The 21,851-nt window shown below is 37.9% G+C and overlaps 1 protein-coding gene across 5 annotated transcripts, besides 4 other annotated features; it reads right to left on the bottom strand.

The window, feature by feature from the left end:
* Positions 329 to 14,139, bottom strand: TFAM (transcription factor A, mitochondrial). Of its 5 annotated transcripts, NR_073073.2 has the most exons (8): positions 13,901 to 14,139; positions 13,211 to 13,329; positions 12,833 to 12,899; positions 11,289 to 11,359; positions 10,730 to 10,879; positions 8,689 to 8,784; positions 5,135 to 5,191; positions 329 to 4,621 (listed from the first exon to the last, which is right to left on the bottom strand). NR_073073.2 is itself a non-coding variant. In NM_003201.3 (7 exons), exons 1-7 carry the CDS (start codon positions 13,999 to 14,001, stop codon positions 4,475 to 4,477), a joined length of 741 nt encoding a protein of 246 aa, NP_003192.1. In that variant the 5' UTR covers positions 14,002 to 14,139; the 3' UTR covers positions 329 to 4,474. The 5 variants fall into 5 exon arrangements, 4 of the variants coding, with proteins under 4 accessions (NP_003192.1, NP_001257711.1, XP_047281653.1 ...); NM_003201.3 differs by lacking the exon at positions 12,833 to 12,899; NM_001270782.2 differs by lacking the exons at positions 8,689 to 8,784; positions 12,833 to 12,899.
* Positions 13,739 to 14,395: an enhancer, noted in NCBI's record as "NANOG-H3K27ac-H3K4me1 hESC enhancer chr10:60144914-60145570 (GRCh37/hg19 assembly coordinates)". NCBI's record gives its function as "activates a minimal SCP1, AML or CMV promoter by ChIP-STARR-seq in naive and primed H9 embryonic stem cells {active_cell/tissue: H9 hESC(naive and primed)}" and the evidence as "EXISTENCE:reporter gene assay evidence [ECO:0000049][PMID:30033119]".
* Positions 13,739 to 14,458: a biological region, named in NCBI's record as "NANOG-H3K27ac-H3K4me1 hESC enhancer GRCh37_chr10:60144914-60145570".
* Positions 14,079 to 14,458: a silencer, noted in NCBI's record as "silent region_2379". NCBI's record gives its function as "represses an Ori minimal core promoter by ATAC-STARR-seq in GM12878 lymphoblastoid cells {active_cell/tissue: GM12878}" and the evidence as "EXISTENCE:reporter gene assay evidence [ECO:0000049][PMID:35858748]".
* Positions 14,589 to 14,688: an enhancer, noted in NCBI's record as "active region_3385". NCBI's record gives its function as "activates an Ori minimal core promoter by ATAC-STARR-seq in GM12878 lymphoblastoid cells {active_cell/tissue: GM12878}" and the evidence as "EXISTENCE:reporter gene assay evidence [ECO:0000049][PMID:35858748]".

Genomic DNA, 21,851 nt, shown 5'->3' with positions numbered 1-21,851 from the left:
TTTGGACCCGTCGTCTCATCACTTAATCCTACCCAACATTTAACGCATGAAATTTCCAGTAAAAAAAAAAACAGAACCTCATAGATGGGTCTAATCAAAACTGCCCTTTCTAAAAATATGAAGGCTAGCAGTTGGTAACCTATATAATAAAAGGTCACTGTGTCAAAACTATGTACTCCTTTCCCTCTTCCCCCATTGTATACCTGATTTGTGGGAAGGGGGAGACGAAATGGGATAAATTTTAAATTAATACAGGCAAAAAAGAATAAAGTCAGAGATTTTCTTAGACATCACATATGTAAATCAGAAACCAATATATAAATGATGCTTGGTGATGAAAAAATGTTTAGTTTATTTAAAATTCCTGTTTAGAGTCAACTTTATTTACTGGCTCCTGTAACCAGTGAAACATTCTGAAATGTATTAGATAATGGTTGTATGTTTTATATATTTCATATCGAATATAGTAAGTGATTTAATCAATTAACAAAAGTCCTTTATTTGTGAACAATGAGAGAGACTGACACTAGCTTTGTATGGTTTTACTTTGGAAAATTTTACAAATTTAAAGTAATAAATGTATTCATTTTCTTACTCTGCAGAAGTTCAATTTTAAAAAGAACATTACTGTTCTAAAATTTCAAAACATACAACATAGTCTGTGCTTGTAACATTTTCAGATTTGTCTGTGACAGCTTGATGTTATGAAGAGAAGGAGGGAGAATGGCTGTGAGTGGAGAAAAGAGCGAGAGAATATTCTTATAGTAAATGTTAGTAAAATTAAGAGAAATAATGGGTACTGTCACTCACAATATAAAAACTTCCTGCTGTTTTAGCACAACCTGGTGGTGATAAATTTTAGATACAGAAAACATCAGAAAAATCAATAAAGTGTTCTAATTACTTTAAATCTACTTATTGTACGCTATTTTTTTTCAATTCAGAAATCTAAATATACACATTCAGAGCAATTAGTAAAAACTAACACATGCCTTGTACAAAAAAAAAGACATTTCCAAAAAGGAGTTAGCCAAACGCAATAGCGTAATTACAGAATTACAGCAAGCTGAATACGTACACAGTATTATTTAAGCAAACATCAGAAAGTAAAATAAATACACAACCCTCCTTCCCCTCATCAAATTACTTTTGTAAAACCTAACATTGGTACTCCAAAGAACAAAAGTATAAAAACTACTGTATGCCTATTCATGACAGTATACACCCTGCTTGATTTCATTTCTTCAGCATCTTTCCTTCTAACACTCAGCTCCTACAGCAACTACTTTGTTGGATGAAATTAAGAAAAGTCTAAAAAATAATAGCAAGGCTTGATGGTCTGCACCTATAATCCCAGCTACTCAGGAGGCTGAGATGGGAGGATCTCTTAAGCCTGGGAGTTCAAGGCTGCAGTGAGCCATGATCACATCACTGCATTCCAGCTTGGACAGAGCAAGACTGTGTCTCCAAAAGAAATAGTAAGGCTTTATGGTCAAGCATGGTGGCTCACACCTATAATCCCAGCACTTAAGGAGGCCAAGGAAGGAGGAACGCTTGATGCCAGGAGTTTGAGACCAGCCTGGGCAACATAGCAAGATCCCATCTTGATTAAAAAAAAAATACAAAAATTAGCCAGGCATGGTGGTGTTCACCTACTGTAGTCCCAACGACTCGGAAGGATCACTTGAGCCCAGGAGGTCAAGGCTGCAGTGAGCCAAGATCACACCATGCCCTCCAGCCTGAGCAATATAATGAGACTCTAACACACACACGTGCACACACACACACACACACACACAAATAAGACTTTATATGAGTGGTCATTGGTTATGATGTTCTTATTCTTTATAAGAGAAAATCTGTGTATACTGTTACAGCTGAATGGCATTTGGTATATGGCATGCCAGTCTTCCACATGTACTGATGTTTAAGAAAGGCTTGGATCCAGTGTGTATTCTGGATGTCGGGGGAAAAAAAGGCTTGGAAACCAGGTTATCCTATTATTTAAAATATTAAAAATTACATTATTTTAGAAACAGAGAACCAAATACAAGCTGATACTACCATAAAATTACCATAAAATAGTTTTGCTCTTTTTTCACTGTTTACACCTTTCCTCCCTATATTAAGTTGTTAAGTACTTGAGAAACGTACTTAACACTGAACTTCCCAATATATTTGGGAAGGTATGATATGAATGTTAAGTATAAAATAATACGGGTAGTTAATGTTAAAAGAACTCAGAGGAAATTTCCCCGCAGGGTAACTACAAAGATGTTTTCTATGCTGCATTTGTCCCGAGATGTTTATGTAACTCATTCCTCTATCTCAATCATTACATACCCCTCATTACAAACACTCCTATGTGCTCTCTGAGCTCATCTGAAGAGAACAGAATTGAGTCGATGATTTGAGTTATGATTTTCTCCATTCTCCTAGGGACTGTACATAATTAGTACCATTCTAGATGACACAGGGACTTAGGGCTTTTTCTCCTGCAAACCTAATTGAGAAAGCCTGTGATAGACACTAGCACACCTCCTTCTCTTTCCCCCTACTCCCAGACTGCTCTGGCCTCAAACCCATCCTATCTATTTCACCAATGGCCAACACTGTCCTGTCTGCACCCAGAGTGAGAAGCTCCCACAGGGAAAAGTTATTTTAAAATATCCAACTTTATATATTTAAAGCCTCATATTTCCTCATAAGCTACTATTTTTCTCTCCCATTCCTACCTTTGTCAAGCTCAGCATATAACAAGTCATCTTTTTGTGACATCAAAGTCTTCAAAGTCTTTCTGGAGATCTAGAATCTACAATTTCTAAATATTTTGCATAACGCATAAAGTGCATATAAATTGAGTTATCCTATATCTGTGAACTGATGAGAATTATTCTGCTCAAACAGGTGGTGAAAACCTTTGCTTGACTCTCCTAAAAGGATAAACAAATACTAAAGAAAGATGGCTTTCAACTACAGTGAGGTTCTTGTGATATGTGCTACTGGAAAAAGTACATTTTTACCAAGCCATAGCAAATAATTTTAAAAGAATATCATTCCACAGTATATGGATCTTTTTCATTATACTGCAATGTAATTTGAAACTAGATTATTTTCCTTGCTAACACTGAGAAGCAACAATTTGTTTAGATTATCTAGTGATGACCTTTTTCCTCTTAAAGGTGACAATGATTCTAAAACAAGAACATCTGAAAACATTTGAAAAAACTATCCCAACACTTCAATACATTGGAACAGTAGTCATATCACACTATACTATAGACCATGGGTTGATAAATTTTTTCCATAAACAGACAGACAGTAAATATCAGGCTTTGTGGGCTATAGTTTCTGTGGCAGCTACTCTGCCACAGAAAAGCAGCCATAGACAAGTAAAAGAATGATCTTGGTTGTGTTTCAACAAACTTTATTTATGAACACTAAATATTCATGTTAATTTTCAAGTATCATAAAAGTCTTTAAAAAAAAACATTTAAAATTATAAACACAATTCCTAGCTCACAGGCCATAAAAAGCAGGCAGCAGGCTGGATTTGATCCACAGGCCATAGTTGGCTGTCTCTTAAACAGGCTTTTATACGTTATGCAAAGTGTTTCAAATTCCAGAGACTTTGGAGACTTTTCGTTTTTTAGATTTCTCATTTTAAAACACACATAATACAAGTTTTCTTTCTGGATCAATATACTCACGAGAGAAAATAATTCAGAAAAAAATAAAATTCCTTACTTAAAAAAAGGGAAAAGCTATAGAACAAATGTTTCGTCTTAAAATATATTTAGGAAATGTAAAATTAAAGATTAAAAATTTTATTCTATGCAACATAAAATAATATGCATAAATCTGGCACATAATTTCTTTGTTTTTACTTTAGAAAAAAGACAGTAAGAAAAAAGTTTATAAATTTCTCAGTCCCTTTTATACAAAGTTGCAACTAAAACCAGCAATCACTTATATGTACAACCATCAACTCTGAATACAATGTGAATTATACCTAGGAACTGTAATTTACCTAGATGAGTTCTGCCTGCTTTATGAAAAACACACACTTATATCACAGAACACCGTGGCTTCTACAATTTGTAACAATTTTGAAAACGAAACTCCTGCCTCCATAATATAAGGAAACAAGAGTACTCTTTCCATAGTCATCATCCTGTATAAAAAAAACTTCATAGTCTGATTTACCTTTGTCAAAGGTAAAATGATTCACATTTGCTTGGATTACTCTGATCCTCAGTAGTTCCTAAACACAAAATAAAGTTTGCATGAACCTTTATCTGGGTTTTCCAAAGCAAGTATTATGCTGGCAGAAGTCCATGAGCTGAATAAAAAGATACTAAATATAAAAGGTTTACCAACTTTATCCTTTCTTAATTTTACGATAGCTTCAGGTATTGAGACCTAACTGGTTTCCTGTGCCTATCCATTGTGAACACATCTCAATCTTCTACTTTTAACACTCCTCAGCACCATATTTTCGTTGTTTCTTTATTGTGCGACGTAGAAGATCCTTTCGTCCAACTTCAATCATTTGTTCTTCCCAAGACTTCATTTCATTATGATAACGAGTTTCGTCCTCTTTAGCATGCTGAATATATAACTGAGAAAAAGCATAACTGTTAAAATGATTTACTTATTTTTTGAGATAAAATGATTATTTAAAATAGCAATTAATTTCTGGAATGCTTCTGTATATACTTTAGAAATTACATTACCATTCTACATGTATAAAGGCAGACTGGAGAAGAAATATTTTCATGAGATAAAAGTTAGATGATGAAAATGTAAGAGATAGACTGTTATCTCTTTGAATGAAATTGTTACAAGTTCAGATCTTGAGGTGCAGGAAGGGGGCAGCAGCAGGGTATCACTGCCACTGAATAAGTGGACACTCAGGCTTATGAGTGCTGTGGTTTCAAATACCAATTTTATTTGCAGACAAAAACTACCAAGAGAAAAATGCCAAACTGGTTCTGAGAATATGAAAATAATTTTAGAATACTTGTATTATTAGTAATACAAGGTTGTCTTCACATGAATCAAGCCTTGCCCTAATACATTCTCTCACAGATATCCTAAGTAGACACTTGAGACTAACAACCGTAATACTCACTTCCTTTTCAGAGTCAGACAGATTTTTCCAGTTTTCCTTTACAGTCTTCAGCTTTTCCTGTAAAACAATATATGTTTAAGTTAAGGTAGATATGGGGACTTCAGTGACCTTTATTATTCATTCCAACAAAAACTCAAGATACCAAGAATTACAGGCAAAGCCTCATCAATTCTTAACATCTTTTCTCTCTAAACAAAAACTATCAAACTGTTACAATTTACAAAAATGAACTGAATGAAGGTACATATTTTTGATTCGGAAATATTAATATTCAGGTATAATCTATGTGTTGTCATAAACTAACTTCAAAGTCTGTTTTTATTCCTTCCCTGTAGCTTTAGGTTTTATTTGAAAATCTGTGCTTCAGTGTTTAGATGCAGTAATAAGAACAATACAGCACAAGTCCAGTAAGTCTACTTAGTTGAACTTAATTATATGACCTGGAAAAGGTCACTTTACCTCCCTTGGGCTTGGCTCTTCATTTATAAAATTAAAGGGATAGAATTTTTTTTTTTTTTTTGAGACAAGGTCTCACTCTGTCACTCAGGTGGGAAAGCAGTGGTATGATCACAGCTCACTGCAGCACTGACCTCCTGGGCTCAAGTGATCCTCCTGTCTCAACTTCTGGAGTAGCTGGGACCACAGATATGCACCACCATGCCTGGTTAATTTTTTTAAAAAACTTTTTTTGTAAAGATGGGGTCTTACCACGTTGCCCAGGGCTGGTCTTGAACTCCTGGAATCAAGCAACCCTCCCACCCCGCTTCCCAAATTGTTAGGATTACAGGCATGAGCCACTGTGCCCAGCCAAAGATGTTTACTTTTGCTTTCCCTAAAATCCCATTAAACAAAGAAATCTTTTTAAAGGATAATCCCACATGAATAAAGACAACAGAAGAGGGCACTATCAACACAAAATTCTGGAAGCTGAAAAGCAGATGCATTAGTGGTAACTGACTTAACTGACAAAAGAAAGCTAATTGTTAAACTGACAGTGGAGAAAACCTAAAAGCAACTTAATTTACCATACAGAATTCCCAAATATCTCAGGAATTGGCAGCACCAGACAGGTGTAAAACAGGTGAAGCTAAGGTTAAACACAAGATTGGCTGAAAGACTGTTTAAAAAGAGATTAGGGCCAGGTGTGGTGGCTCACGCCTGTAATCCCAGTACTTTGGGAGGCCGAGGCAGGCAGATCATGAGGTCAGGAGTTCGAGACCAGCCTGGCCAATATGGTGAAACCCCATCTCTACTAAAAATATAAAAAATTAGCCAGGTGTGGTGGCACGTGCCTGTGGTCCCAGCTACTAGGCAGGCTGAGGCAGGAGGATCGCTTGAACCCGGGAGGCGCAGGTTGCAGTGAGCCGAGATCACGCCACTGCACTCCAGCCTGGGCCACAGAGTGAGACTCCGACTCAAAAAAAATAAAGAGAGGTTGGGTCAGGCACAGTGGCTCACATCTGTAATCCCAGCACTTTGAGAGGCTGAGGTGGGTGGATCACCTGAGCTCAGGAGTTCAAGACCAGCCTGGGGTAATATGATGAGACCCCGTCTCTACAAAATACCCAAAAAATTAGCCAGGCTTGGTGGCACATGACTGTAGACCTGGCTACTCAAGAGGTTGAGGTGGGAAAATTGCTTGAGCCCGGAAGGCAGAGGCTGCAGTGAGCTGAGATAGTGCCACCGCACTCCAGCCTGTATAACAGGCTGCCTGTCTCAAAAAAAAAAAAGAGGTTAAATTTCTACCATGGCAAATTTTAGGACATTTATCCTCTCTAGAGAGTAAAATAGTGTCACTCTGTGAAAACCAGGTACAGGTACAGTTGAGGGAAATGGTACCATACTAAAAGCAGAGAGATTAAGTTAAAATGTATCCAGCAGTTCAGGAAAAACAAAACAAAACAAAACAAAAAAAAAGGAAAGAAGACTAAAGGAAAACAGTACGGAAAAAAATAAGAAAATAAGGACCAGCTCAGAAGATGCATATACATGTAGCAGGAGTTCTAAAGGGGAGGAAAAAAAAAGCACCAGATCACATTTAAAGGACCAATAATCAAAACAGTTTTAGATTTCTCAAAAGCAGTACAATAAGGTAGAAGAAAAGGAATTTTTACATTTTGAAGAAATATGTTTTCCAAACTAGAATTCTATGCCCAGTCTAACAAGTGAATGTGAGGATACAGACATTTTCAGACATGCAAAACTCAAAAATTTAATCTCCCATGCACCTTTACTGGGAAAGATGCTATACAAGAATCAGAGTAAACCAAAAAAGTAAACAACAGAAGCAAAAGCAGCACCACAAGGATAATGAAGGCAATCTCAAGATGTTAGCTGTATACTAGGATTAGAAGGCAACAGTCACACTGGAACAAACCCCAGTTTTCAGAGTTAAACTGAAAGAAAAACACATCCTAAATTTACTAAAAGCTGGTGAATACCGAGGAGTTTGAGGGTGAATTATTGGTAAGTACAAAAAAAAAAAAAAAACCTAAGTGAACAAACAGACATAAGCAACTTCAGGGAAAATAAGTTTCGTAAGAAAGAAAAAATAATCATAGCATATGTCAGCTGTGAATACAGCTTACATAATCATAATACTATTAGGTTGGTGCAAAAGTAACTGCTGTGTTTGCCATTACTTTTAATGGCAAAGACCACAATTACTTTTGCACCAACCTAATATAGACACACAATACCAAGCTAACCAAAATTTTAACTATATTGGGAGGTAGGGGAATCGAAACATGACAACAGTGGGATGACAGTTAAATGTCTAGCTTAAACGGTGGTAGGTAATGCTTAAAGCATAAGATAAACAATGATTAAAGTTGAAAAAAAATCAAGAAGCAACAATATAAAAATGTTATTTAGGGATATGGAAACAGAATTTGTAAAGTGAACTACAGATATAATAATCCCGTAGGCAGAGTGCCAAAAACTTCATCTTAGATTAACATGGGTTACGGATCTAAACATCCATTTCTCTTACTATGTCATATGATACAGGAAAAAAAGCAATTGCCCATTTGGAGCTTCTAAGCAGCAAAAAAATAGGAAAGACTAAGCCACAGCAGGGATTGACAAGCTTTCTTTTTCTTTGACACACTGATATGATGCATTCACATGTATAACACATCCCTATGGGTATAACCAAAATGTTATTAAAAGATATAAATGAAGCAATAGGTTACAATCAATTCCCCATAGAAAATATTGCAGCTCTACTCTCATTCTTTCTAGTGATCGTAAAACAGTTAAGAACTGCTGGAACAGAAAAGCCTCCAGAAGAACTTTAATATCCCTACATATTAAAAAAAATGTTAAGTATTTAAATTTAAAAAGTTGGCAATGTATGTATGTATGTGTTGGCAACTACATACCTAAATTGATTGTATATGGTAAGAAAAAAGATTTTTCTTTAAAGAGGGCCTTAGCAAAAGAGTTTACTGTCTGGATATTCACTACTTTTCTTCACTACCTGACACATGGCACTCTAGACTTTTCCTGTCTAAATATTTTAAAAATTAAACAAAAATATATTTCAGCTTTACCTGCGGTGAATCACCCTTAGCTTCTTGGAATCTTTCAGCTACATAAACGTTATAAGCTGAACGAGGTCTTTTTGGTTTTCCAAGCAGTGTTAACTCCTGAATTAAAAAAATTGGAGGGTCAAAAATAGTGTTAACCTCCATGAGACTTAATTTTACCTACAGAAACTTTATTCACTACTACGCATTACAGATTATTCCTTAAAGTGAATGTTATGATTCTTATATAGTGTGATTATTACATCTTGCGGTCAGAATTTTTTTGACAGCACTGTTATGAAAATTATGTTAGATTTCACCAGTTATTTTCCATACAAAACCATTTCCTTTACCTATTATTCTCATAGTCTCCATGAACTAAATAACTGAATATATATGTACAAAACCTTTTTAAAAGATAAAACAACCTTAGGTTCATCCTTGTAAGATACTACTGTCCCCTTGACCAAATCACTGCATGCTTCCACCACAACCCAAGAACAATGGACTATTTGTTTAATAATCTTTCATCTCACTCCATTCCCTGAATGTCTCCACCTTTAAAGCTCCATAGTTGTGTTAAATTCATTTTACTAGTTACCAAAAGGGAAGAAACTGTGGAAAAGAATACAAGTATCCCTTACTATCAGTTTAATTTCTGAGTTCAGGGAGTGATATTGCATTATTATACTTAAGTTTCTGAATTTGGATAGTAAGTAGTACCTGTAATTTACAAAATTCTGTGGCTCTTAATAGCAATTTGGCTATAATCAGTAACAAATTCAACTTTTATTCATAACTGTAAGTAGGGCTCCTCTGATTTAGTTTCTTCTTCCTGAATCTCTCAGTCACTGAGTATTGAAACTACTATAGACTCCAAGCACTTTACAACTTAACTATTTCCCTCTTTGTTTCTAGAGCTATCACTAGGGATTTCTCTCCTGAGGGTTTTACTTGTAACTTCCTAGTCCTCACACTTCTCACTTGATCTCTGAACTAGTTGGTACTGGGAGTCAAGAACAATTACAAAAGAAAGAGAGAATGACAAGGGAAACTTTATAAATGTCCAATTCATGCTTCTGGTCCTCTCTACTCTTAGCACAGTGGGCTGGGTGCATTAAGGAGGAAGGGAGAATGAAAGAGGGAGGATATACTTTAGTAATCACTCTTCCAAACACCATCCTTATGTAGACACTCTATTTTTCACTCTTAGTATCTTTCTGGCTCCCTTTTACTGATTAGATCAGCCACCCTAAAGTAGCGGCATCATGGTCTCGAAACTGGGCGGGTCCTCAACCCTAGTGCTAGGACAGCTTAAAACATTAGGGTCAGGGAAAGACGTATTGGCATCCCACATTCAAGGCTGTAATCTAGTCTTTCAAAGAAATAGTTTTAACTCTGATGATCATTTGTAATAGTGTAGGTACACGACTAGCAAACTGACCACCTCAAAACTAATACTGGCTCTATGAAAAAAATGTATAACTTTCAAATGATGACATTTATGTGAATTAATACATTAAGCTGGGAACTACAAATTTTGAACCATGTGAGGTTTTTAATAGTTATTTCTTTGAAGAAAAAAAAAGAATTCCATCCTAAAGGCACTTAATTGATTAGATAAATTGGCATTTTTCCGATGTGTTAATGAATTAATGCAGTCTACTCAGCAATATTCCATATCAAACTCACCATAATCTATAGAATAATTCAAATTAATACGTTATTCTAAAGAAGACTCAGAAGCAAAGATTCTTGATACTCCTGGTTTGACTGTTTCATAACTCTGTTCCTGTAGTTTCCATTACTGTTCTACGAACTGTACACCTTAAATGTGGATACATCTGCAAGTAGCAACAAGGATTTCCAAACAGACTCAATGGCAAGTGGTCCTAGTGGCTATCTCACTTTTCATAAGAGAACTATCCCACTTCTGCCTAACTGAAGAATACTTGATGACATTCTACCATATTTTATTTGCCTATTAAGAGAAAACTACCTATATTCATAGTTATATAAATCTCAATTCTTTACCATAAGAAAAAAGTATTTCAATGATACTCACTTTTTTTTTTGTCATAGCTTTCCTTTTTAAATGTTTGTCCATGATTTCTTTTTCCAAAGACATAATCTGACTTGGAGTTAGCTGTTCTTTAAATCTGCTTATCTCTTCTTTATATACCTGCCACTCCGCCCTATAAGCATCTTGATATATCTATAAATAAAAAACCCAAGTAAGTCAACAAACCATTGCTGGCAAATTCAACATAGCACATGCCAGGGAAAGGCAACTGCATGACTTCAGACAGACAGATTTTATCACCAGGTGGAAAATGTGCTCTGGGATGAGATGTATATGGATTAAAACATACATTTTCCTTATATATACTAATCAAGGTGAGAGTTTAGTAATCAGCTTCCATTTTCAAACTACTGCCACTTCTTCACCTCCACCCCATACATCCATATTCTCATTATTTATGCAGATGAGAAGACATAAAGTTTCTTTGTAGATAACAGATTATTTTTTAAAAAGTCTGATCCATCTGGTCCTTTAAAGGACATGACAATTGCTCCTAACTGCAGAATAACTGGTCAGCAATGTTGAAAACTTATGTGCTTACTTTTTTCTTTGAATCAGGAAGTTCCCTCCAACGCTGGGCAATTCTTCTAATTAGTTCTGTAGTTTTTGCATCTATGGAATGAAATAAAAAGAAAAAAGATGCCACAATTTTACCTCTCAGGATTAATTTCTAAAGATATCCAGGAAAGCACAATCCATACCACACATAACTTAATATAATGATTTAACTTTCCTTTATCCAACTAATTTAAACGTAAGTAATTTATCCAACATTATCAAAAGTCTATTATCTAACAACTAAGGAGTATACCATATACCACCAGAAACAGTCAACAGTTTGATTACTAGGATTTTTTTTTTTTTTTGAGACAGGGTCCGTCACCCAGGCCATCACCCAGGCTGCAGTGCGGTGGTACAATCTTGGCCTAATGCAACCTCCACCTCCTGTGCTCAAGTGATTCTCCTGCCTCAGCCTCCCGAGTAGCTGGGACTACAGGTAGGCGCCATCATGTCCAGCTAATGTTAGTATTTTTTGTAGAGACGGGGTTTCGCTATGCTGCCCAGGCTGGCCTCAAACTCCTGAGTTCAAGCAATCCATCTGCCTCAGTCTCCCAAAGTGCTGGGATTACAGGCGCGAGCCACCACACCAGGCTGATTACTAGTTTAAGAAGCTGGATGATCAATTGCTTCAAGTTTTTTACTTCCCTTCCATATTTCAAGCAAAACACTTTTTCAAGTCTTTGAGGAATTCCTAAATTTATAAAAGCTAACAACAAAATACATTCTCGATCCATATAACACAGCCTCGTATTTCAATAACAGAAATATCATTTGGAAACAAGCTATTCGAAATTCAATCTGTTATTCTCCACTTCCTTCTTCATCTTAACCGGAATGATGGCGTGCAATTAATTGATTTTTAAAAATACCTGTTAGTACTAACTCTTACATTTAAAAGATGTGGGTACTTAAGCATGTCTCTGAAACTAACTCCTTACCTATAATGTGAGCTTTTTTTTAAAATTATTATTGTTTTTTGAGACAGGGTCTCGCTCTGTCACCCAGGCTGGAGTGCAGTGGAGCAGTCATGGCTCACTGCAGCCTCAACTTCCTGGGATCCAGTGATCCTCTCACCACAGCCTCCCAAGTAGCTGGGACTACAGGCACTGCGCCCCCATGCCCACCTCATTTTTGTATTTTTGGTAGAGACAGGATTTCCATGTTTCCCAGGCTGTTCTCGAACTCCTGGGCTCAAGCAATCCACCCATCTCGACCTCCCGAAGTGCTGGGATTACAGGTGTGAACCACCTCACCCAGCCTGATGTGAGCATTTTTTATTCTCGCCGAGAGGCTTTCTAGAGAGTCAACAAACATCCTACCTGGAAATGTTTTTTTTTTAGGAACCCAAGACAAGAAAGGATTTATCCTTTACAACCCACCATCCCCTTGGCAAGGTCGAGGTCTGAATCAAAGAACCAGAGTGGCTCTGAACTCCTATGATGAAAAGGTTTATCCTTTCTTATCTTGAAAGCTCTTGAAATTAGCAGTAAATTGCATAGAACTTTACAGTTCTACAGAACTTACAGTTTATGGATGCTTCCACAGAAGTTGCAACTTTATTAACAATTCCCTGAGCCAGAAAAAGGAGGAGCTAGGCAAGAGAAAATAATTCATCAGTGGTCCTCTAGACCAAAGGCAACAAGGCCCCAAATTCAGCTTTTTTATCCTCTTCCTAGGGTGCTTTCTACACTATACGTTATTTTTAAAATACCATTTACTAGTTCTCATTTATATTTAAAGCATTTCCATTTGGTATAAAATAGAACTTCCTATTTTACAGACATCAAATGATTGTTCCTGCAGTCACTGAATGCTTTAGCACTGCAATTCAACATTGGTATTTAACTGCTTAATGGCATTTTTATTACATGAGAAAAGGGTATATGCCCCAAAACTCCTTACCTGGGTTCTGAGCTTTAAATATGGGTAGTTGTTCTTTAGAAAATCGAAGGTAAGAACTTACAGGTTTCTTTGGACAACTTGCCAAGACAGATGAAAACCACCTCGGTAAATACACAAAACTACATATAAACAAAAAGAAAATAACCAGTGTCAGATGTTTAACTGTCAATATTCACATGTATATGAACACAGATCCCAAATAAGAAATGTCATCAAGATACTATGTATCCAACGCCTTCAACAAGAATGCTAGAGACTTATTAAAACCCTGTCCTAAACGGAGGGGAGCGTCTGCAGGACTGAAGTCTCAAAGCCCTTACCTCCTAGGAAGGGCAGGGAGTGAAGGAAAGCGTCTATACTCCAGCTCCTGGGCCCCGCCTCCTCAATGCCTAGATGATGGCCGGAGACTCGGCGCGAATTCGCAGAGGAGGCGGAAAGGATCCAAAGCTGGACAGTGAGGAGGGATGGGAGAAGCGAGTGGAGGGTAGCAAGAAGGTACGGCGTATTAAGAGAGTAAATAAAGGCCTGGTCTCAAGGCCACCGTCCCCTTGGCAAGGTCGCGGTCTGAATCAAAGAACCAGGGTGACTCTGAACTCCTAGGAGGGGCAGAAAGTGAAGGATAGGGTCTACATTCCAACCCCGGGACGTCCTGGGCCCTGCTGCCCCTAGGGCACAGGCAAGCGGGCCTACCTGAAGGGGGAGCGCAGTCGACTTCCACAGCCGGTGCACAGCTCTGCTCCAGACCTTCCCAGGGCACTCAGCACGCCCCACATGCTTCGGAGAAACGCCATCGCTCCGGTGGATGAGGCAGTGACCCGACCCCAATCTCGGAGAGCCTCCTGGCAATACACAACTCCAGCAATCACAACTGGAACCCGCGTGCGACCCTCCGGCGTGTGTTATCATGCCCGCCACTAGCGAGGCACTATGGGAAATCTGCTAACATCCGGTCGGTAGATGGGGGCGGGGCGGGGCGGAATTGGCGCAGGCGCGGGAGAGCGTACCCCGGTGGGCGGCCTTGCGGGGGAGGAATAAGAGCCGCGGAGATGAAGGGAAACCGCAATCCTCTAGCCTGCGGAGGGCTCTGGCTTCGAGGCGGCGCTGTTGAGCCACCTCTGTCCCCGGCCGCCCGGAGCAGTGGGTTCCTCTGCCGGGCCAGGAGGGTGATGGAGGGACCGCGGCGGCGGCCTCACCCCAACCCGGCGTTGGCCGGTGTCCGCCCGTGACGGTCACAAGGGCTGTACGTAACAGACAGTCCTGCATCCAGGACCCCGAGGTCCGATCGGCGGCTGCTGCGCGCCCAGCGGAGCGTCTCAGTTCAAGCCAGGGCTGGAGCTCGGAGTTCAGAAATAGTAACGGGAGAGGCGGGGATTCGCAAACCTAAAAATGCAGATTCCAAGGCCTTACCGCAGAGCTTAATTCCGTGTGTCTATGTGGGGCCCATTAATCTTCATTTTAGCGAGTTCCCCAGAATTTAACAAGTTCTAATGTCGGTGGTCTTGAGACCACATTTAAAGCAATATAGCTTTAGACTGTTTATTCTACCATCTACTGCAGTCTTTCAGTCTGGCCTCCAGCTTGCTTAATTTGAGCAGAGGAAACTGGCTAGTTGTCCACAGTCGCTAGTCTCAATTCTTCTAGTTCCAGTATTAACATTAACGTCTTGACTTGGGAATATTGCATTCCCTCGTTAAGATTCAGTTTCCCCCTCTGCAAACGAGGATGTTAGACTAAATCAGTTTTCCCAGCCAAAGCCCTGAGAACGTGTGACAAGTATGCCTTGAGACATTGATGTGTCAAAAATTGCTGTATAATTTTTTTATTTGTGTTATAGAAATACCATTTTCTGTATAGGCAATGGCATGAAAAAGATTAGGAAGACCTAAAGATACCTAAGGGTCCTTCCAGCCCTTAAATACCAGTTGTTTCAGAGCTAACCACCTTCTGAGACAGCCTTTCTTCTGTTGGATAGCCGTAATTGTTAGAAAATTCTTACCAGTGTCATATTGAGCTGACAGTCTATTTACCTTTCTGTAACTATGAAAACATTGGCTCTCTGGAAGTAGGACTAAGCCTACTTCTTCTTTTAAGCGGTAATAACCACTTCCCTTTTATAGACTCCCAGGGTTGAAAGGGACCTTCCAAGTCATCTGTTCAAACCTCCCATTCTGGCATGGAATAAACAGGTTTTTTTCCTGAGTATATACTATGTACAACGCCCTAAACATAGATAAAAGACACAGTGTTGTGCCCCAGCCCACCCCCCGCCCCCAGCCCCAAAGGTGAGGCAAAGTAGCAAATAATTACAACATGGGGCTCAGACAGAAGTTACATTTAAGTTGATTTCTAAAATAATTTGTTTCCCTTTTTGTTCTAGAATGTTTTTGTTCTTTCAAATGTTTGACATAAACTTCTTTTGGATATTAAACTTTTTGTTGTTTTCGACTTTCATTTGTATAAATCTTGCTGTAAAGACCTTAAAAATCAAATCCATAACATTTTTCATCAGATACCAATCTTCCTTAAAACTCATTTACATTGCAGTGATAATTTTACTTCTAAAAGCAGAATTTACAAAGAAACATAACTTTATCCACTAAAACTGTCTTTTAACAAAAAGACATGGTATATAATTACTTTATAAAACATGAAGACTTACTGCAGCCTTTCCCAGGGTCCCTTTGTTGTAAAGTTCTCTAGTCCCATGACTTCAGCTATTAGTTATAGCCTCATGACTGCCATATTGAACCCAGTCCTCTCCTTTGAGTTCCGTATCCACATAACCACTGTCTTCTGTACATTTTCACCATCATGTCCCACAAGTACTTCAATTTCAACATTCCCTGAACAAAATCCACTATCTTTCACCCATCTTGAAGTCCTTCTCTTGGTAAGATGCACATGTTTTCCTCTTTAATCATCTGAGCCAATAACTTGATAAATCATTTTAGAATCTCCCCATTGACACTCCACCTGCCATTAACCAACTGATGATGAGTATTGCTGATTCTGCCTCATTCATCCCTCTAGTATGTATTTCCTTCTCTCTAGTCCCATTGCTGTTGCTTTTGTTCAGGCCAGTAATATGCTGGTAAATAGCTCTCCAAAAAAGAAAGCCCCAATTTGTGGTGTTTGCTGAGTTCTATGGTGTAAATACTCCCACCATTGGCAGATTTCATGCTACTGACAAATTTTTCTTTTCCTGTTAACATGCAAACATACATATTACATAACCAGCATTGCTCCTTTCTTCCTGTTGAACTTTTAATATTTCTTAAATTAGTAATATTTGAGCAGACACATTGTGGTAGTTGATGAAAAATTAAAACAACACACCCTGAAGTTGGATTGCACTTTAATATTTTCAGAAATTTTTAAATAACTTTATTTGACTGTATGATTCAAATATCAAAGGAAAAGGTAGAGAAGGTATTGTCATGATCATTATTCCCAATTTCCAGATGAGAAAAATGAAGTTCAGAAAGCCCAACTCATAAGCTTCCAACAGTAAGTTGTGTAGGTAAAAATTGCAATTCATTGTCCTGTGCTTTTCGTTTGTATCAGATCACTCAGACTCAGTGAACATGCCACATCATTCCAGCCCAAAATATCTTTAGTGGATCATCTATAGTGTGTGAGCTCACATCACTTACTTGTGACATCATGTACCACTCTGGTTTCTGATCTTTTTCTCTATGTATACATATTTTTTTCCACAATAGATGGTAAGTTATATTAGGAAAAGACTAAATCTTATGCCTTCTTTTATCCCCTATTGTACCTAGCACAGTACACTGAGCATGATAGATGGATGAAGGGACAAACGGATGGATAGGTGAACTGACAGATATATAGATAGATAGATAATAGATGACAGACAGACATATAGATACACAGAGAGAGATGAATAGTGTGAAAAGATTAGCATCTGCACAAATTATTTATATATAAATTTAGCCCCATAGAGAACAACTACCTGTTAGAAGTGTCATTTGCCAATAGAAGGACACATTTGCCAGTGTGTGGAGATGGAAACCATGTAAAATTCTGAAATATATATACACATGAAAGTAATGATTATGGTTCATTGATACTTGCACATTGGTAAAGCAGAAGGTAGTGCCAATAAACAGCAGGAGCAGCCAGAAACCTGGATAATTCCCTGCTGAATAATGGAGTTAGATGCACAGATATCACTCAAATGAAGAAAAAATGTTGCTAAGAGAAAGCAGTCTTGGCTTTTGTAATTATAATAGATAAATAATTTAGCTACAACAGGAGCAATTACCTAATAGGTTTTAGCAGGATAAATAGATGTGATTCTGAACTTGTAAGTAAAATATCTCTGGAAATAAGATCATACTATGGACACCACATTTAAAGACAATTTCCTCATAAGCAATTACAAAGCACTGTGATAAGCACTTGAAAGGGGCACAAAAAGCATAAGATATTGATCCTGCCCCAAAGAGCTGACACTGTGATTGGGGGAACAAAGCATAAAGACACAAAAGGAATAAAAGTATAACAGTGCATTGCAGCAATGAGAAAAAATTTTACACCTTGAATATCTCCTAGCTTATTTTTTCTGTGAGTCAAGATTTTAATAAATTATGTATGGAAAACTACTTGTATAATTTTTTCTTTCAAACCATTTTTATTGACATAGAGTCTGTTTTCATGCCACTGGAGTTTGCCTTTAAAATCAATATACAAAAAGAAGGAAGGGAAAGAGAAATAGAGAAATTAGAAGAAAGACCTGTTGCATGTTAATAGTTCCCAGCTACCCGAAATTATTATTATCTGTGAAATATTTCTCAATTAGAACAAAGTCTGCATGCAGCCTTAATTATTAAGGGCATATCAGAATTATTTTAAGCCATTGCTGTAGCAGCATTACAAAAAATAAATGTAGCTTGTCTATTTTAAAGCTGATTCTATGAGTCAGCAGGAGGTAGGACAAGCAAAAAGAACAGCTATAATTTTATGCAAATGTATAATACCCCAATTCATATTACTGGATGTTACTGAAAGCTGACTTCATATTACTGAAAGCTAACTTAAAGATCGGAAGAAATCCAGAATGATTGTATTGAAGGAATAATGCTGTTAATAGGACAATATAATGTGTCTGCCCTCATACCACGGTAAAGTATCTGATCAATACAAATGGTAATAATTATAATTTATTGCTAAACTACATGCCAAGTATTTTACATACATTATCACTAATCCTTTCATAAATCCTCTAAGGTGCTATGATTTCTACTGTACAGCTATGAAAACTGTATAAATAATAGGAAGGATATCTTCCTTGTTAGCATGTTAATAACAAAAATTGCCACCTCTGAATCCACAGTTTGCAGCTTTGAAGTTATATATGACTCTACGTAGATACAGGATAGGTAAATCAGTCATGAAGCGGTAGTTTTCTTAAACACCTGCTCACATTCTATTATTTCCAGTCCCCATAAATGCTTTCTTATTTATCTGAGTGGCTTACTAAAATAATATCTTAAGCCAGGGCAATGGCACATGCCTGTAGTCCCAGTTACTTGGGAGGCTGAAGCAGGAGGATTGCTTGAGCCCAGAAGTTTGAATCTAGCTTGGGCAACATAGCAAGACCCTTTCTCTTAAAAAGTATTCAGTCACCCAAAAACATAGGTTTGAATTTAAAGAACTACACATACACATATGCATGAGTGTGCGTGCAAAAGTAAGAGTGCAGAATAGTACACAAAATTTGGTTTAATAGTGATTGTATCTGAGTATTGCAGGAGTGCATGGGTGGTACTCATTTTTTAATTTATATATTATCTTAGTCTTCTTGTAAAACACAATAGTAATATTCATCTTTTAGTGATAATTTTTTAAAAACTCAGTTCCTAGGAGAGGCCAATACTGTGCCAGACACTGTGCTAAGTTCTAAAAGTACATATGGTTGGGTGCAGTGGCTCACGGGGGAGGATCACTTGAGCCCAGGAATTCGAGACCAGCCTAAGCAACACAGTGAGACCCCCGTCTCCATAAAATAAATAAATAATACATACAAATACGATTAAGGCCCGATCATCCATTTAAATTTACCTGGGAAAGCAGGGGATGGCTTCATAGAGTAGGTGACATTTGAACTGTTTTTTCGAGTGGGGAAAGGTTGAGATGCCTTCCAGAAAAGGAAAACAGTATGTGCAAGTCACAGATATTTATGAGGGCATGGTATATGTGAAAAGGAGTGGTATGAAACAAACCTCTTTAAATTTGAGTGGGGTTGGGTTGTAAAGGACTATGTATAATTTAAGTTTGTTAGGAAAATATAGCCAAACAACTTTTTAGGCAGGTTACAGGCACAATTAAGTTGTTTTTATAAAAATCCCTTTAGTAGGAGCACAGAGAATGATGGGTGTGAGAAGACTGTTGCTGTAATCCAGGAAAGAGGGTCTGAGATTCTGAAGTAACATGGTGCCATGGCTCATACTCCAAAGGCCTAAGTATAATGGGCAAGATTCCATTGACTGGTTAAGTACATAGAACACAAGAATGACTTTAAGGATTCTACCTTGATAGACTATTCCAATTCCAATTGCATACTCTGCTAAGTGAATATCCCCAAGCAAATGCTTTCATTATATCATTTGGCTGGTTAAAAACTTACACACTTCTTACTTGCTATCGAACCAAGATTTCATATCCAGCAGATCTATGTTCTCCACCTAATCTTTTCTCTCATTCATTGCACATGGACTGCCAGTGCCATTCTCACTTATTTCTACTTTATTACCTTTGTTTGGCTTCTCCTGTTTTCATTAATGCCTTCCCTACTTAAATATGCCAATTAGAACCCTAAGTATCTTCCAAAGCCTAGTTCATTCATTTGTTTAGTGAACAACTATTTAAGTACTTGTGTGCCAGACACTGTAGATCCCAGCAAGCATAAAGATGCACACTGGGAATCATGGTAACATTGATGAGAACTATTATTACCTCAACAGCTAAGAAAAGGAGTGACATAAAAATTAGAGATTTAAAGGATAGGGAAAGAGGGCATTTTGAGCGGAATGTACAATTTGACCAAAATCTGAGAATGAGAAGCACCATTCTATACTGGAAGTGGGGAGAGGTTGGGATCCAGTGAGAACTGCAGGCAGTTTGGTGGGAGTCGGGAATGGCAGATGAGACTGGAGATGCAAGCTAAAATTTACCACAAGAGTCTTAAGGACTTGATACTTTATTCTGTTGGTTCATGATTTAAACAAGGGGAAAGAACCTGAGAACCCAAAGGGTCCTGATATACGTATCAGATAAAAATGAGCTTCACTGTTTGAAGTTATAAGTGGGTCCAAGTTAAAGTCAGGGTCCAAAGGCTAAACCATTAGCATCTCCCTTCTTTTTTCTGTAGGTCCCTCTGCAAAACCACTGCTGAGTCTGTGGGGAACTATTTAAAAATGTTAAAGCTGATAACCCACAAGATCAGATTTGGGGTTAGAATACTTTCACACTTCTGTGGATGATGGACTTGAGGGTAGGGAAAAGATAGGATGTTGTGGTAGTACCATCAAAAAATGAAGAGGTAGAGATTTCTGCTTCAAGAAATTCCACTGAGAATCAGAAGAGCTGCATAAAATAAAACCTTATAATTGAGAAAGTGTGAGAGAGCTGCAGAAGTCATGAGACTTTCAGAGGTGAGCTGAGTATCTGTGGTCATTTTTCTCCTGGAGTACAGGTTAGAGGCTGAGAATTTGGGCTTTATGCAGGCAGAGGAGCACTGCTGAAGGACAGAGTTTTTTGTGGTTGCACAGAGCTGGAGTGACAAAACTAGAGACTTAAGGAACCTCAACATACAACTAGTTTCCCCCTCAAGTAAGAGCCAAAGTTTTAATTTTGTTGGGTAGGAGGCTAAAGAGCTAAATTTCTGAAAAAAAATATAGTGTAATTTTCTTCTCTTAGTATTGAGAAGACAACAGCCTGACAGAGGAAGGAGACCCCAAAGAACAGCCTAGAAGCAAAAAGACTGAAGTTGTGAACTAAACTAACACCAATGATTTACATCCTCTCTTCTCCCTGCAGCACTTGTTGATTTGGATGTGGCTAAAGGCTCAGGATTCGAGCTTGATCCCTTATGACTGTTCATGACATTAGAACCAGTAGTAGTCTGGTGGTTGCATACAGCAAATGTAACATAATTACAGATTTGAAGGGCTTTAGAGACAGCGGGTTGCTTGCTCAAGATGTTTGCCAAAGTATGAATCTCCCAGGAGCAATAGGCTAAAACTGTGAATCAAAAATACTGAAAAGCAAGGTGGAATTTCCTATAGCCTGTCTGTGCTGAGAAACAAAGACAGTTGAAGAGGGTTATGCACTATGAACAAAGATAAACTAGACACAGTTTGGGTCTAATAAAACTGCAAGCCAGCCTCAACTAAGCACAGGTCCTGATTGCATTAAAGTGGTCATCTTCACACTCTATTTGACTAGCCGAGCACACGATGTAACCTCTCTGGTGGAAGAAAACATCATGAGTTTTCACAGGTTTTTTTTGCACAATGTCTGGCATTCAATAAAAACAGACCCACAGGTAACTCAGATACTAGAGTTAGCAAAGACTTAAATAACTGTGATTAAGAACTTCAAAAACTAGAGAAAA

The sequence above is a fragment of the Homo sapiens genome, chromosome 10 (assembly GCF_000001405.40).
Source record: "Homo sapiens chromosome 10, GRCh38.p14 Primary Assembly".
NCBI lineage: Eukaryota > Metazoa > Chordata > Mammalia > Primates > Hominidae > Homo > Homo sapiens.
This window is presented reverse-complemented; position numbering and strand designations above follow the sequence as displayed.